At 47.9% G+C, this 16,284-nt stretch overlaps 1 protein-coding gene across 2 annotated transcripts in view, besides 2 other annotated features; it reads right to left on the bottom strand.

The window, feature by feature from the left end:
- RPTOR (regulatory associated protein of MTOR complex 1) overlaps positions 1 to 16,284 on the bottom strand; it is a 421,531-nt gene that overhangs the window by 294,931 nt on the left and 110,316 nt on the right. The gene's annotated exons all lie outside the window — the stretch shown is intronic.
- Positions 9,531 to 10,031: an enhancer, noted in NCBI's record as "H3K4me1 hESC enhancer chr17:78635207-78635707 (GRCh37/hg19 assembly coordinates)". NCBI's record gives its function as "activates a minimal SCP1, AML or CMV promoter by ChIP-STARR-seq in naive H9 embryonic stem cells {active_cell/tissue: H9 hESC(naive)}" and the evidence as "EXISTENCE:reporter gene assay evidence [ECO:0000049][PMID:30033119]".
- Positions 10,032 to 10,532: an enhancer, noted in NCBI's record as "H3K4me1 hESC enhancer chr17:78634706-78635206 (GRCh37/hg19 assembly coordinates)". NCBI's record gives its function as "activates a minimal SCP1, AML or CMV promoter by ChIP-STARR-seq in naive H9 embryonic stem cells {active_cell/tissue: H9 hESC(naive)}" and the evidence as "EXISTENCE:reporter gene assay evidence [ECO:0000049][PMID:30033119]".

Genomic DNA, 16,284 nt, shown 5'->3' with positions numbered 1-16,284 from the left:
GCAGGAGGAAAGAAACCAATAATTAGAGAGTGTTCTGGCAAGAGGAAAGAAGAACCCAATAATTACAGAGTGTTTTGATTTAACCGAGATGCTTCAGCAGGAACACACTCTCTCTCTCTCACACGCACGCCCATAAATTTGATTATCAGGAACATTGGCGCTTCCTACTGTGCCGAGCCTGGAGGAAAGGCCATCGGCTGCCGGGCAGCACAAGGACGAAGAGCACAGGCTGCAGAGGGCACTAAAGGCCAGGAGGGGCCCGTGGAGCAACACGGCAGAGATGGTGAGCCCAGAGGAAGCAGGATGTGACTTGGACTCTGAGAAATGAAAGAAAAAGAAGAGAAATTCAGGATACAGCAAAACAGAAGAGGAAATACTGGGCCACGCTCCAGGGCCCACGCTCTTCCCAGGGCCAGGTGCTTTAGGGGCTCAATATGGAGGCAACCGACCTCCAGGATCACTGACCCCGGCGAGGATAAGTTCCAGTGTGCAACCCAGCTCCACCACAGAGAGGGTAACAAGGACGAGCGTGTGCTCCCCTAGGACCAGGGAGAATCCATTCCCCTGACCGAGGAGACCCTTGTGGCTACCGGGGAGGGTTTATGCTTCAGAGTAATCAGAAATGAATGTGGGGGGGAGTTGGGGGGCTGATTATCAAGGGTCCCACAAATTCAACAACTACTGTGTGTCGTCTACAGGCAAACGCCAGGTGCTGCTACACTACACATCTATCGTATACCAGAGCTGAATGCGTGTGTGGACTGCGGATGACCACCTGGCCGGGAGCTGTAGGTACATCTGTTACCAAATGGATTACAATTTCTGGCCTCCTACAGCTCACAGTCAAGTGGGGAAGAGACCCTAAACACAATAAATACGAAAACTGCACAGTGTGTGAGAGGTAGCGAGTGCCATCAAAAAAATAGGGTACAAATAGAAAAAGACGAAGCAGCGGGCAGGCGTCATGTCAAAATCGAGTGCTGACAGCAACGCTCCGGATGGTTAAAAGGCTTAAAAAGGTCAGAAGCAGAAAATCTAATGGCAACAGTGGCATGACAGTGAGGCTTAAGTATAAAGACTGAGAATTAGAACAAGGAGTGGGAAAGGAGAGGGAAGGCGCAAATTCCCGACACGGACAAGGGACGGGTAGGACCTGGTGACTAAGTGGATGGTGATAAAAGAGGGACAATTTAAAGGTGATGTTCTCTGTATTATGGTCGGAAATGAGACAGTTGTGACAAGAAACTGGCTTAAGGTCAAACCTTACAGTGAACAAGAAACCAAGAAACCCGGAGTCCGGTCTGCAGTCGATTTCACTGAGCAAGTCACTTTCTCTGTCCCAGCCCCACCACCTTATCTTTCAGATGAGGGTAATGGTTTTAAACTATTATTCAGATCTCTTGTACATCTAAAGCTTCCAATTTTAGGATGAATTCCACTCAGACAAGACAAATCTAAAGATACCTGAGTGATGTTGTAGACTGTCTCAAATACACAATTTGAGCAAAGACAGAGGCCAGGCCTAAAGAGGCATTCAGAAATCAAACATGAAAGTGACGACTGAAGAACAAAAAAAATGAATTATTTGAATAAGTATCAGAAGTATCAGGAAAAAAAGGAAGGGAAGAGGAAAGAGAGATGATCCACAGAGGGGAAGAGCTCCTGGTGCAGAAGATTGTCCCTCCATGGAGAGGTCTGGGGGTCACCAGAGCGCAGGGGAGAAACATAACAAGGCGTTTTAAGAGTGAACTACTGGGCCGGGCGCGGTGGCGCACGCCTGTAATCCAGCACTTCAGGAGGCCAAGGCGGGCGGATCACCTGAGGTCAGGAGTTCAAGAACAGCCTGACCAACATGGAAAAACCCCATCTCTATTAAAAATACAAAATTAGCCGGGCATGGTGGCGCACGCCTGTAATCCCAGCTACCCGGGAGGCTGAGGCAGGAGAATCGCTTGAACCTGGGAGGCGGAGGTTGCGGTGAGCTGAGATCGCGCCACTGCACTCCAGCCTGGGCGACAAGAGTGAAACTCCGTCTCAAAAAAAAGAAAGAATGAACTACTGTATGCAACAGGGATGAGGTCAGGGAAGTTCCCCAGAAACCACTGGTGCTATTAATGCAGCAAGGGCAGCACTCCGGGTGTTCTGTGACTTACAGATTCCGTGCAAGGGCAAGAGAAGAAGAATTTGGACTCAGCTTTCAGGGAAGGCAGGCCAGGACCAGTGGCCTGTGCAGCAGCTGGGAAATGCCCCCTACCCACATTCCCACGCCCTAGAAAGCCCCAGAAGCCCCCAGCCCCTGGCTGCTCCTGCTGAGCCAGCAGAACGGGCAGGTCCCACCACCTCCCTCGGTGCACACTTAGGGTAGCCTGGCCTCCGGCAAGCGTGTCCCCGAGCAAAGCCCTGGCTGCAGGGGCACCTGGCTCTCCAGCCTCTGTGGTGTGAGAAGCACCCGGGAGGCAGCAGACCCACAGCACTGCCACAGCTACTAAAGCTCTTTCTTTCATTGATATTCAACTCGTCCTTTACAGAATACTGGACAGAATAAAATCTGACCTTTAAAACAGTTGTTCTTCTCTGAAATCATGGGAACAACATTCTCATGCTCAAACCCGAATGCGGACAAGCCGCTGTCCTGAGACTAAACTCCAGCAGGACCCGCTCTGCCTGTGATCCCTGGGGCAGCCGCTCTGCTGAACAAAAGGTTTCTAACAATAAACAATGAGGAATAATGACTGCCAGGTAGCTGGACAGAAAAGAGGAGATCCCTGTGACGCAAGTGACCTAAAGAGCTGGTTTTCACTTGTAAAAGCATAGGCATACGGCTGAGAACTGCTGAGGCGTGCAAACATGGGAGACGGGGGTGTCATCTTCTCTGACACTGGTCATTGTTTTATTTTGCTGTCTGCTTGTGAGGAGGTCCTTTCTCCAGAAGCCTGGAAGAATGGCCATGGCCGACTCTGGGAGAACAAGTGCATGCTGAGGGGACAGGGCGCGAAGACCTCCTGCGGCCACCTATCAAAGGCCTTTCTACAAAGAACACAAGCCTGCTCTATGACCTCAAGTAATACTTAGAACCCAGGCCTGCCAGCCTAGGAACATGATGAAAATTATCTCACTCTGTACTTTATAAAGGCTAGTAATGAGTAAAAATGGATGGAGATGGAAGAAACTTGGAGATTATCAGGCAACCTCTCAGTAGCCACCCTCCTTGACAAGTTGAACCCAAAAGAACTCACTAGGATAAACTTTGTCTAGTGGAGGCCCAACCTGCCTCTCCGCTACCCCTCAGGCCTGCTACACTAAGGGAAATGTGGTAACTGTTTACTGCTGTGGTATCTGAAACCTGCACTGAAGAACAGGGCAGGTTAGATGCCCGCGCCTGAAACCAGACGTTTCCTCTGTGCAGCTTCCATGTCATCTGTTTGCATTAAACCCCCTGTGGTTCCAGAATCCCATCTGAAGGTCGTTCTGCCCACGGCATTTTTGTTGCTGACAGAATGGCAGACCCTTGTGGATTTTCCCACTAAAATGATTTCACAGAAAGGTTAACTTTTTTCTAAATGCCAGGCTGCCGGTGGGAACCGAATGAATGAAAAGCAGTCACCTGCATTATCACAATCACAATTACACCACTCATTTCACTGAAAATCTTTCCAATCACCTCTGCAGGCTTAAGTCCAAACTGCAGTTAGTATCAAGCAAATGAAGGAGCCTCCATATTTGTCCCATGAAACCACAAAGAATACTAACATTCTCTCCCGTGTGTCAACAACTTGTTATCTTTGTCCCAAGAGACTCAGCTAAACAAAGGTCATGGGTGCGAAGGGCTTACTATTTGCTATGACTTCCACTGACATCTTTTAAATGGGAAGATAAATTATGCAACTTTATTAACTCTGGGCATCTTAAGTCAAAATAGTCAAGAAAAAGAAACTTCGAAAGTGGGATGAGTAGAAAAAAGAGCACCTCACGATGCACTTGTCAGCAAGGAAGGCGATCAAGTCCTTATTCTGTATCCACTCAAACACCTGTTCCTTATTCCAGTAGGAACAAATGCAGAGTCCAGCCTGCTCCTCTGGCTTCCACTGGAATGTCTGCTCACACTTTGCCCACCTTGCCCAGCCCTGGTCTCCCTTCGCTCCCAGCTCAGACGTCACCACCTCTATGGAGCTTCCCCCGGCTGTCCCCCTCCAGCCTCTCCAAGACCCGTCTAACTCTTCCAATGTGGTATGGACTTACTTCCCTGCCTCCCTGGGGGGCAACAAGCTGTACTGGAAAGATCAACATGCACCGGGGCAGGGATCCAGCAGAACCTACCATCAGCACTGGCACGCTGGGAAAGGGACGTGGAGACGGGAACGCCTTCCTCCCGGGGTTATTGGGAAAATCCAGGCCCTGATGAATCAGTGTCCTAACCACACAGAATGCACTCAACAAGTGCCACCTACTGCATTCCTTGAGTAGACAATTCCTGGAGTGCTGTTGGCTGGACTATAAAGCCTTCTCTGAGGATACGGTAGTGGCCTAGAAGGCTCGATCAGAGGACACGGGCAGTAATTCGCATGGCTTCTGGTCAAGAGAACTCGCCATCACCCTTCACAGACAGCATTCTTCCTTTCAAGGCGCTGCCTCAGTTTACCATCCACTCCTTAGGTGGGTTCTCGGACTGCTCGGCCACCCATCTCCCCACGAGGCTCTGCACCACTACAGCAGGGGCAATGTTGGGCGCTGCTCACAGAGGCTGAAGCACAGTGGAATCCCAATAAACATTTGCTGAATGAATGAATGAATGATGTTTATTTTCCCTATCAGACTTAGAATTCTTTGCCAGTAGGAGGTATCACTTATTGTTATATCCACAGCAACTAGCAAAGTGACGCATATATGGCCAATAATCAACATTTTGCTGCGTCCAACCAAGCAGTCATTTTCATCCTTGCGCCCTTCCTACACTCTGCCCAGGCTGTGATTAGATTCCGGGTCACTTGTTTCGGCCTCACCTATACTCACGGCAAGGACCTAACTCTTCAGGGTCACCCTGAAGACAGCGGTAGCTTGTCCTAGCACTTCTTCTAGTCTCCATCTTCTGTGTCTGCAGCAGGCTTGATCGAGGGAGAGGGAACAAGAGTCTTCTTAAACTCATAGCAAGAAGAAAGAGTAGATAATAAACGTAATTTATTTTGGCAAACCAACTTTGGAGAAGAATAATATTTTAGATAATATCAAGGAGAAAGAGTAGATAATAAACATAATTTATTTTGGCAAACCAACTTTGGAGAAGAGTAATATTTTAGGTAATATCAAATGGCAAGATTTTTACTATTTCATATTGAAAGGCATCGAAAGTATAGCTCTTTGAGGGACAGTCACTAAAAATAAAACGTTTGTCCTCCCTGCTCAGCCCACAAGTCCCAGTCAAGGCATGGTAAACATTTCACAACAGACGCAGGATACACGGGCACAGGCAGATGGGAGGGAGAGATACTCAGTGGCCTCCAGGGTTACGAGACAAACAAGACTTCCTTCATCTTTCCGACGAAGATCTTCCAAGAGTTCTTCATACTTTATATCATTTCTAAAGAAAAATTTTTGGGGGGCCGGGCGCGGTGGCTCACGCCTGTAATCCCAGCTGTGGGAGGCCAAAGTGGGCGGATCACGAGGTCAGGAGATCGAGACCATCCTGGCTAACACGGTGAAACCCCATCTCTACTAAAAATACAAAAAAATTAGCCGGGCATGGTGGCGGGCGCCTGTAGTCCCAGCTACTCGGGAGGCTGAGGTAGGAGAATGGCGTGAACCTGGGAGGCGGAGGTTGCAGTGAGCCGAGATCACGCCACTGCACTCCAGCCTGGGTGACAGAACGAGACTCTGTCAGGAAAGGAAAGGGGAAAGGAAAAGGAAAGGAAAGGACATGGAAAGGAAAGGAAAGGACATGGAAAGGAAAGGAAAGGAAAGGAAAGGAAAGGAAAGGAAAGGAAAGGAAAGGAAAGGAAAGGAAAGGAAAGGAAAGGAAAGGAAAGGAAAGGAAAGGAAAGGAAAGGAAAGGAAAGGAAAGGAAAGGAAAGGAAAGGAAAGGAAAGGAAAGGAAAGGAAAGGAAAGGAAAGGGAAAAGAAAAGAAAAAAATTTTCTCAAGAAGAAAACAAGCAGTGTGGTTAGGATGCACGCCGGTAATGAGGGGCTCCCATGCCTCCCTCCCTCCTCGCCAGGAAACTCAGGTCTTTGATGTGTAACAACCGGCAAACCACCTAATTAGGATAATGGAGAGGAAGCCCAGTAAAAACCAGAGACAGCAGGTGGGAGGAGCCACCGCACCCTCGGTTGACAACAGCAAAAACAGGTAAAGTCCTTGCCCAAAGATCTCAGTGATATCCTTTCAAATATTTTAATTGACAGATTAAAAAGAGGGAAGAAAGGAGGGAGAAAGGGGTGGGGAGAATACAGAGGACAGAAGCAGGAGAAAAAGGTCTCTGCAGCTCAGGGAGAAAAAAGCCAAAACATTTTTGTTCCTTTTGAGGAGTAATGCAGATTAAAACTATAACAACATAAATTATGTTTATATAAACATAAAATTTAGAAAAGTATATTTCACTTTGTAAGAAAAAATCCAACTCCTTCTGAAGCAAATAAACACTATAAATTTATCTCAGGCACTTTAGAGTTAACAACTCACATTGTAATAAACGGCCCATCTCCTAATCAAGCAAACTCCCAACAGCCATGATTCCTTTGGAGACTCAGACTCCCTTCGTCTTCACATCCCTTCATTAACCAACACTTCCCAAGCCTGCCAAGGTCAAGGATTCTGAGTGCTACTAAGTGCTTCTTAGGAGACCAGCAGGGACGGAGGAGGAGGTGGAAAGAGAGGCAGGAGGAGAAAAGGGGGAAGAGTGGGGTGAGGAAGAGAAGAAGGAAAGGAGGGAAGAGCAAGCACTGAAAGGGGAAGGAGGAGAAGGAGAAGGGGGCAGGCGCAGGGAGCGAGGCTGCAGGATGGTAGGCCATCGAGGAGGAGAGGGTGAAGCAGCAGCAACTTCAGTGGGAGGGGGAACACCCTAGCACATGAAGCAGAGAATCAATACTGAGTGTAAGAATTATTTTCTCAGGATTGCTTCTGTTACTTAGGGAAAAAAATAAACACAGCTAAATGCATTTGTGCTGGGCATTAAAGAAGAAATCGTATTTTTAATCATTAAGAAAGAATAGGAAGCCTCACAGCACATTTCAGGAGTCTGGAAGCCCAGCCCCCATGAGAAGGCAGACCTTCCAGGCAACAGGGCGCTCCACAGCCAAGATGGTTTGCACGTAAGAGCCCTCTGCGCTAAGTCATAAACACTCCACCACCCAAGTCCCTCCCAGACGCAGCCCTGGAGGAGGCCTGCATTTTGCTCCAACAGAAGTGAGTGACTCCTCCAAGGTTTCTGTCTCAGCCACCACAGGGTCAAGAGCAAATGCCCACGCGGCTGTCACGGGGAAGATGCAGAGCAGTGGGAGCCTGAGGACCCAGATCCTTGTGAGATGAGCCTCAGAACAAACACCCAGCGGAGGATGCTTCCGTGCCAAAGCAGGGCAGGCCAGCCCATCTTGTGCACACACCTGCTTGCACACACGCACACGCACAGAACCAGTCTCAAGCAGAGGAAGGCACAAGGCCCAATCAGGACAGGGTGAGCTCAGGAAGACAGAGGGGACTGTGACTGGGGAGGGGCTCAGAGGGGGTTTCAAAGGCTATGTCACCTTCCATTTCTTAAGCCCAGTAATGTGTAAAAGCAATTCATTCTATTATTTTCCACACGGTAAATAGATCCACGTGCACACTCCATAATAAGCACAAACATAAGCACAGGCTGCCTTCACTCCCTGCCATTCAGGAATGTGGACTGTTTGAGGGGAAATAATGTCAATATCTCACCTAATAATTCATTCAAAGACAACCAAATACCTCCCAGCTCACTGATGCCTACGCTTCCATGTCTCCAGAGTGCTGGAGGAAACTGTAAATAAAGATTCCTCTGCAGATTGCCTGGCTTTGCAAAGAAAGAGATGATTTTTGTCATTTTTGTCAATTTAGAGTGGCTTGCAAAATGTAACTGGAAACATACAACCACCCAATGACCTGCAATCCCATACACTCAAGAGAAATAAAAATATATGGTCCACACAAGACTTGCACCCCAACACTCATGGCAGCTTTATCCCTAAAAGCCAGTCACTGGAAACAGGTGCAGCGTGAACCTGTGGGAGAGGGAGGGTGGATGCACCCTGCGTGGATGTGCAGGCTCCGGGACACCCAGCAATGAGCTGCCGCCCGGACGAGTCTCAGAAGCCTCACCCTGAGTGAACGAGGCCAAACGCAAGAGCAAAAGAATACATCACATGTGGTCACTGTAGAAAAAGGTAAAAAATAAGTGAGGCCACCTGGGCAAGATTATGACAGGGAGAAAAGGCTGGCAAGGCTGATTCCACCTCCCTCCTAACCTCACAGGCGGCTGCCCTCACCCATTCCCGGATGCAGGCACAGCTAACCATGGGAGGAATTTAGTTTGCAGTTGAACTTTAAAGCAAGGATGATAACAGTCCCTCCCTAAAACTGGTCCCCTCCTGGTTCAGGGACTGAAACCACCTTTGTAAGACTATGAAAGGCCATGAGATTAGGATTATGTGAGGGGCCTGAATTCTGCTAAGATGTAGATGTCACTAATGATACCCAGCCATCATCCCTAGCTTGCCTTTCTATAATTCCTTGCTGCTCGGGAGTCGTGGCCAGGTTATAAAATTTGCGACTTCCCCAATTGCTCCTGTAGAAAACAACACATTACAAAACCTAAGACTGGAGATGTTTTTCAGAGTTTTGCGTTCTGGCAACCAACTGACCCCACCTGGACCCATCCTGTGGCCCCACCCAGAGGCAGACTCAGTGCAGAAGACCATTTTCCCCACCCCATGACTTCACCCCCCAACCAATCAGCAGCACCCACTCCCTAGCCCCGCCCACCAAATTATCCATAAAAACCCTAGTCTCTGAGTTCTCAGAGGGGCTGATTTGAGTAATAATAAAACTCCCGTCCTTCCACCTGCAAGGCTTTGAGTTAAATTCTTTCTTTACTACAATATTGCAGCCTCCGTGAATTGGTTTTGTCTGTGCAGCAGACAAGACGAACTCATCGGGGCGTTCAGTTCCATGGGCAAAACTAGCCTCTGGTGATAGGAGGCAGAAGGCGGCTGGCCTCGGCCAGGAGAAACTGACTGGAAAGGGGGCTGAGGGAGCTTTCTGGGGAGTGGAAATGATCTCCATCTTGCTTTGAGTGTGATTAAGCAGGAGGATACAACTGTCAAAACTCATCAGACTAAACACTCAAGATCTACGCATTTTACTACACATAAATAGCATCTAAAAATCGCCTGGAAAAAAGTTTTTAGAAAGGCATATGAAAAACGGGTGTTCTAAGCTTTAAGAGATTTAAAGAGACATGAAATATACAAAATGGAAAATAGAATGGCCCTTTCTGTACACCTCTAAATCTGTTGTTTTGACTGAATTACCGAGGCCCTGGTGTGCAGCGCAGTGAATCTCGAGCGGTGCAGGGTCCAAATGCCACGAGACTCGCGGCAACTCCGTTCATCACAGCCACTGTCTTGGAACCACTGGATGGATAAAAACCCATACTGGGAGAACCAGGAGGCAATAAAGAGCAACTCTCTCATGCGCCATCCTAAGAACCCACTAAGAAAGGGGGCGGGGGGTGGTGGGGGATCCCTTTCCCAGCAGCAACAGAAGCTCTAAGAAGAAACTTAACAAGATGTGCATAGGAGCGCCGGGGAGAGACTCTCCGACCTTATCGGCGGACATAAAAAGCAGAGCAGAACAGCCCAAGAAGCGTGCCACTGCCACGGGTGCAAAACACCAGGTCTCCCCAACTCATCTACAAGCTCATATCACCCCCATCAACGGCTCAACACCGTGGTGGAGAAGGGTTGTTAGTTGAGGCCTGCTAGGAGCAAGGAGAGTGAGTCCTGGGGCTCCCGCGCGACTCCTCTGCTGAGACCTAGAGAGCTGGCCTGGCGTCAGCGGCCTCCACCTCTGCCTCTCCGGCTCCGACTCTGCAATAGTGAACTGCATCTGCTCCTCACAGCCACCCGCCTTGTGCTGAGACTTGGAATTTTTCTCCTCCTCCTAACCCATCCACAATCAATACTGACATTGAGAGCAAGGCACTTCAGATCTCCCCCAAATCTTAAGATTTCACCAAGTCAGCCACGCTTACACCCTAACTCAACTCCCTCAACCCCTGCCACTTCCAATCCTGGTCCCGTGCTCAGGGGCCAGGGCCGACAGAAGATGGCAGCAGAAGAGAACCTTAAGTGTGGTAGGTCGGCAGTAAGACTTAGACAAAGAAGAAAAAGAGCCCGAGAAAGATGAGCAGGCCCAAGAGAAGGAAACGCAGCAGAGGGAGAGGAAAACCCCCAAGGGCAGCTGGGCTGGGGGTGGGGGTTGGAGCTTGACCTTGACCTTGCCTTGTTTCCAGCAGGTGAGCCAGAGCCACAGGGCATTTTAGGAAGCTGACTTGGGGTGGTATGGGGGAGGCTCCTGCTGAGAGAAGGGTGGGGAGATGGGGTGGGGAACGATGGGAATGGGGGGACCAAGGGGCTGCCTGCATTGGGGACAGTGGCTGACCATCCTTCCAGCAGTCAGTTACCATTGAGTGCGGCCAGCAGGGGTCACTTAGGGCTTGAGCGAAGGATGGGACCGCCTGTGTTGCCAGGCATGCATGGCCCTTGTTAGTCCCTTGCCGCAAAAGGGTAGAATATAAAGAAAATGGGAAACGGGGCAGGGAGTGATCATGGGTGGTGAATGGGGCTCTGGGAAGACCTGCAGGAGACCGTGTCACCATCAGACTCTTCCTTCCACTCTTGTCCCCAACTCTGCTCCTCAGAGTGTGGCCATAATTTCTATAGAACAGATGCTACTTTTTCATAAACTCTAAGGTGCCAAAGGTTGTACGATCCATCACTGTCTTCTATGTCACTAAGGAAAAAACTGCCAATTAAACTATGACATGACACGACACAACACTTTCTCTTTGGAATTTTTATCTGATACTTAGTAAGAAGAGCTATTATCAACTTACTCAGACATGTTTCTCATTTATCATTCTTTTTTTTTTTTTTTTTGAGACACAGTCTCGCTCTGCCGCCCAGGCTGGAGTGCAGTGGTGCGATCTCGGCTCACTGCAACCTCCATCTCCTGGGTTCAAGCAATTCTCCTACCTCAGCCTCCTGAGTAACTGGGATTACAGGCGCCCACCACCATGCCCAGCTAATTTTTGCATTTTTAGTAGAGACAGGGTTTCACCACGTTGGCCAGACTGGTCTCGAACTCCTGACCTCAGATGATCCGCCCACCTCGGCTTCCCAAAGTGCTGGGATTACAGGCATGAGCCACCACGCCCGGCCTCATTTAAATTCTTATATATACACAAAAGAATATTACCTGCAGGCCAGGCACGGTGGTTCATGCTCAAATCCCAGCACTTTGGGAGGCCAAGGCAGGAGGATTGCTTAAGCCCTGGAGTTTGAGACCAGCCTGAGCAACAGAGCAAGACCTTATCTCTACAAAAAAATTTTTTAAATTAGCCAGATGGTCCGGGCGCAGTGGCTCACGCCTGTATCTCAGCACTTTGGGAGACCAAGGGGCGGATCACGAGGTCAAGAGGTTGAGACCAGCCTGGCCAACATGGTGAAACCACATCTCTACTAAAAATACAGAAATTAGCCGAGTGTGCTGGTGCGTGCCCGTAGTCCCAGCTACTTGGGAGGCTGAGGCAGGAGAATTGCTTAAACCCAGGTGGCAGAGGTTGCAGTGAGCCAAGATCGTGCCACTGTATCCAGCCTGGCGACAGAGAGAAACTCCAACTGAAAAAAAATAAATAAATAAAAATAAAAATTAGCCAGGTATGGTGTCGCATACCTGTAGTCCCAGCTACTCAGGAGGCTGAGGTGGGAGGATCACTTGAGCCCAGGAGGTCGAGGCTGCGGTGACCCGTGATTGCACCACTGCACCCCAGCCTGGGTGACAGAGCGAGAGCCTGTTTCAAAAGAAAAAAAGCAGCCACAGAAACTGGCTAAGGTATTCCTAACCCTTCTTGGATTCAGATCAGAAGCCCACTCTTCTGAGCCCACTTCCCCCTCGGAGCCATGGAGCCTACATTTCACCCAGGGTCACCCTGTGTGCATGAGTGCAGCTCTTCCCTCTCCTAACAGCGCTCGGAGGCAATCTCTCGGGGACCACTCATGGGCTCCAGCCTGCAGGACGTGATGCTGCCACCACCATTCCACAATCGGGACTCAGATTCCCTCCACGGGTGAGCCCTGTGGCTCTCGGCACAAATACTGGCCTCTGTCTAGTCATGCCCTCAAGTCCACACTGTGCTGACAGCAACAGCTGAGTCCAGGCCATCAGCAGCAGTCAGACTGATGGCAACACACACCCCCCATTTCAAAGATGTTGATGTAAGGAGGGCTAGAACTGAAAGCTGATGTGTACAAGAAAAGAGATAACAAGGTGAAAATTTTCACCAGAGAACTGGAATTGATAAAGAATCGAATGGAAATCACAGAATAGAAAAATACAATGGAATCAAGAATTTGGTAGGTTGGCTAAACAGCAGACTGTGCCCCACAGCAAAGGAGAGGATCAGTGACCTACAGCAAGAAAAAAACTCGGAACAGAACATGAGAAATGTACAGGACATGGTGAAAAGGTCTAACCTATTCCAATGAGCGTCAGCAGGGGAGACAGAATGGCAGAGAACCAGTGTCTTAAGTGATAGTACTTAGAAACATCAAGCCACAGGTTCAAGGAGCACCAAAAAGGATACATATGAAGTAGTCCACAGCTAAGAACATCTCCGTAAAGTAATACAAACCAAATCAGCTGGACAGGGGGGTGCGGGGAGGGAACTTTCAAAGCACCAATATTAAGACTTACAGTCAGTGTGACGTTTTAACAGAAAGGAGATGAAGGGAAAAACACCTTTAAACTTAAAAAAAAGTTGACATAGAATTCTACACACAGCAAAAATATCCTTCAAAAATGAAATAGAGGTAAAATATGCAGAAACTAAATTGTTGTTGGCAGCCTCACCCTAAAAGAAATATTAAAGGATGTTTTTCAGGTTGAAGAAACATGACCCTGAACAGAAGGACAGAAATGCAGGAAAGAATAAAGAACATTAATAAGTGTAAAGAAGCAGATAAATCTAAATAAATATTGACTGTATACTGTGGGGTTTAAAATCCACATAGAAACTCCAACCCCATGATGTTGACACCATGCAAAGTAAAGGGGGGTGGGTAGGAGGGTTAAATGCATCAAGATTCTTGCACTGTCTGGCCAAGTGGTGCAAGTGCTAACTTCAACACTTCTCACAGTAAGGGTATGTAGTAATTTATTAGGGTTACCACGAAACAAATATGTAGCTTATGTATTCTCTGATACATCACTAATAGAAGGAGAAAATGGAATAATTTTTTAAACTGCTTAATGCAAAAGAAATCAAGAAAAGAGAAAAAATAAAGAACAGGTGAGACAAAACTAAAATAAATAGGAGGGTGGTGGATTTAACCCCAGATACACAGTGTATCAATAACTACATTAAATGTAAATGGACTAAATATTCCAACTAAAAGATTAAAAACTCCCCTATCCAGTAAATAAATGCCCCAGTAAGTCAGCCCTCCCCTGGGAATCTACAGTCCTGGCTGCATCTCCAGACAGGGCAAACTGGAGGTAGAGTGGCCACTCGACAGAACCAGCCAAAGGTCACCCAGTAAACTAAGAGCTGGTTAGTAGTATCACTGCTGCATTGCTTAGCCTTTATGCATTCAGTGAGTGCTCTGGGAATATGAAAGCAACATATTCACACTGAGAAACAGCCTTGTGAAAAAGTAAAGGAGATTTCAAAAAAAAAGAAGGAAAGTCAGCTGGTTACTTTGGCTATCAAAAGCCAAGACCTAACAGACCAAGACAGGAGTCAAAGGCATGAAAAATATCAGGTTATAAGATCCTAAAAATCTGGATTCCCTCTCCACTCAGCAGGGAGAGGTGCTGGCTGTCACCCTAACTACACTCTCCAAGGTTTACCTTGCAAAGCTGGAGCCTGCTCTTTTCTGGAGCTTGCTTCTGCCATCAGTGTAGACTCCAAGTCCCCAGGTCCAAACCCCTCCCTAACAAGGGCCCAATAAAGACCCACTGAAATCACATTCTGATCCCTAGTCAATCTGTTCTTTTTTCTCCCTCAGTTTAAAAGTAAAGAATTTCTATCAGCTGAATGAATAGAAATATATTCAAATTTAAACAAGCAAGAACAGGGCTGTGAAAACAAAGAGACTTCTATTCTTCAAATGACGAAACGCTGAGAAATTGGATTAAAATGCCCATGATAATTTAGCTGTTTTAATACTTTATGCTGGTAAACAAAGGCAAAGGAAACAGCCCTGGGCAGAGCCCCTCCTGCTTGCTCTCCCACCGCTATGGGCAGTGTCCCCGCGGCTCCCTGCCACTCAATACAAGTGTTCCGGACAGAGGAACTAGCCATCCCTGAAACAGCTCTGTCAACTAGAGGGTGATTAACACTTGCCCCTTCGATGTGAGCACTCACGTGGGCCCCATGCAAAGTCTTTCCAGCTCATCATGTCACACGCATGGCACAGAAACAAATGAGATGGACAGAAGTGAAAGAACCTACAGACAAATGTCACAACCCAAAGGCAAAAGTCCCAAGTGGCTCCGTCTGCCTCACAGTCCCCTTCCTACTCTGAGATGACACATGGTGAATAGGTATTTTAAATTAGTTGCCTATTATTAAAGTAAAAAAAATCATGGTTTTAAAACAGAAGGCACATAGAAGGGTTTTGTGTAAAAAGGTGAAAGTCCCATTCTGCATCTGCCCCAAGTCACGGTGACAGATGTTCTGTGCTTCGCCTCATTTGTGGTACTGTTGCCCCTTAGAATCAAATTTTATTCTGGAGTTAGATTCTGAAGTCAGTACAGACCTGATTTAAAATGTATTCTGAGGCCGGGCGTGTTGACTCACACCTGTAATCCCAGCACTTTGGGAGGCCAAGGCGGGTGGCTCACCTACAAGGAGTTTGAGACCAGCCTGACCAACATGGTGAAACTCCATCTCTGCTAAAAATACAAAAATTAGCCGGGTGTGGTGGCACATGCCTGTAATCTCAGCTACTCGGGAGGCTGAGACAGGAGAATCGCTTCAACCTGGGAGGCAGAGGTTGCGGTGAGCCGAGATTGCGCTACTGCACCCCAGCCTGGGTGACAGAGCAAGACTCTGTCTCAAAGAAAAAAAAATGTATTTTGACCCAATATGCTGCTTTCAAAACTAGAATCAGTCAACACAGCAAGACACCAAGAGGCGAAGGAAAATGAGAACGACTAAGGAGGCCACAGGCTGATGTCTCCCTTCCGTGTTCACTCTAAGGCATCTGAGTGAGTGGAGGAGGGGCAGATCCACCGACTTGCCCTCCATCTATCTAGGGATCTACCCACCCATGTACACATATGCCACACCCAGCTACACACATTACATATGACAAGCAGGAACGGCTGACTCCATCAGTCATATGTGCATACACTAAACCTGTTGAATACACTTTCTTCTTTTGCATTTTAAATTTGACGTATTTTAAGCTGGCACTGTGGCTCACACCTGTAGTCCTACATACTCCTGAGGCTGAGGCAGGAGGATCACTTCAGCCCAGGAATTCGAGGTTAATGAGCCATGATCACACCACCGCACTCCAGCCTGAGTGACAAAGCAAGACACCACCTCTACAAAAAAAAAAAAAAATTAAAAATTAGCTGGGCATGGTGGCACACATCTGTAGTCCCAGCTACTCAAAAGGATATGGCAAGAGGATAGCGTGAGCCCAGGAGGTTGAGGCTGCAGTAAGCTGACTGCATCACTGAACTCTAGCCTGGGCAACAAAGCAAGACCCCTCTAAAAATATAAAAACAAATCAATAAAAATAAATTTAAAAAAAACAAAAAATATGGCTCATACCTATAATCCCAGCACTTTGGGAGGCCAAGGCAGGCAGATCACTTGAGGTCAGGACTTTGAGGCCAGCCTGGCCAACATAGTGAAACCCTGTCTCCACTAAAAATACAAAAATTAGCCAGGTGTGGTGGCATGTGCCTGCAGTCCCAGCTATTCGGGAGGCTGAGGCAGGAGAATCACTTGGGCCCAGGAGATGGAGGCTGCAGTGAGCCA

The sequence above is a fragment of the Homo sapiens genome, chromosome 17 (assembly GCF_000001405.40).
Source record: "Homo sapiens chromosome 17, GRCh38.p14 Primary Assembly".
Classification (NCBI taxonomy): domain Eukaryota; kingdom Metazoa; phylum Chordata; class Mammalia; order Primates; family Hominidae; genus Homo; species Homo sapiens.
Note: the sequence above shows the minus strand (reverse complement) of the source record. Positions and strands in the feature narration are given on the sequence as shown.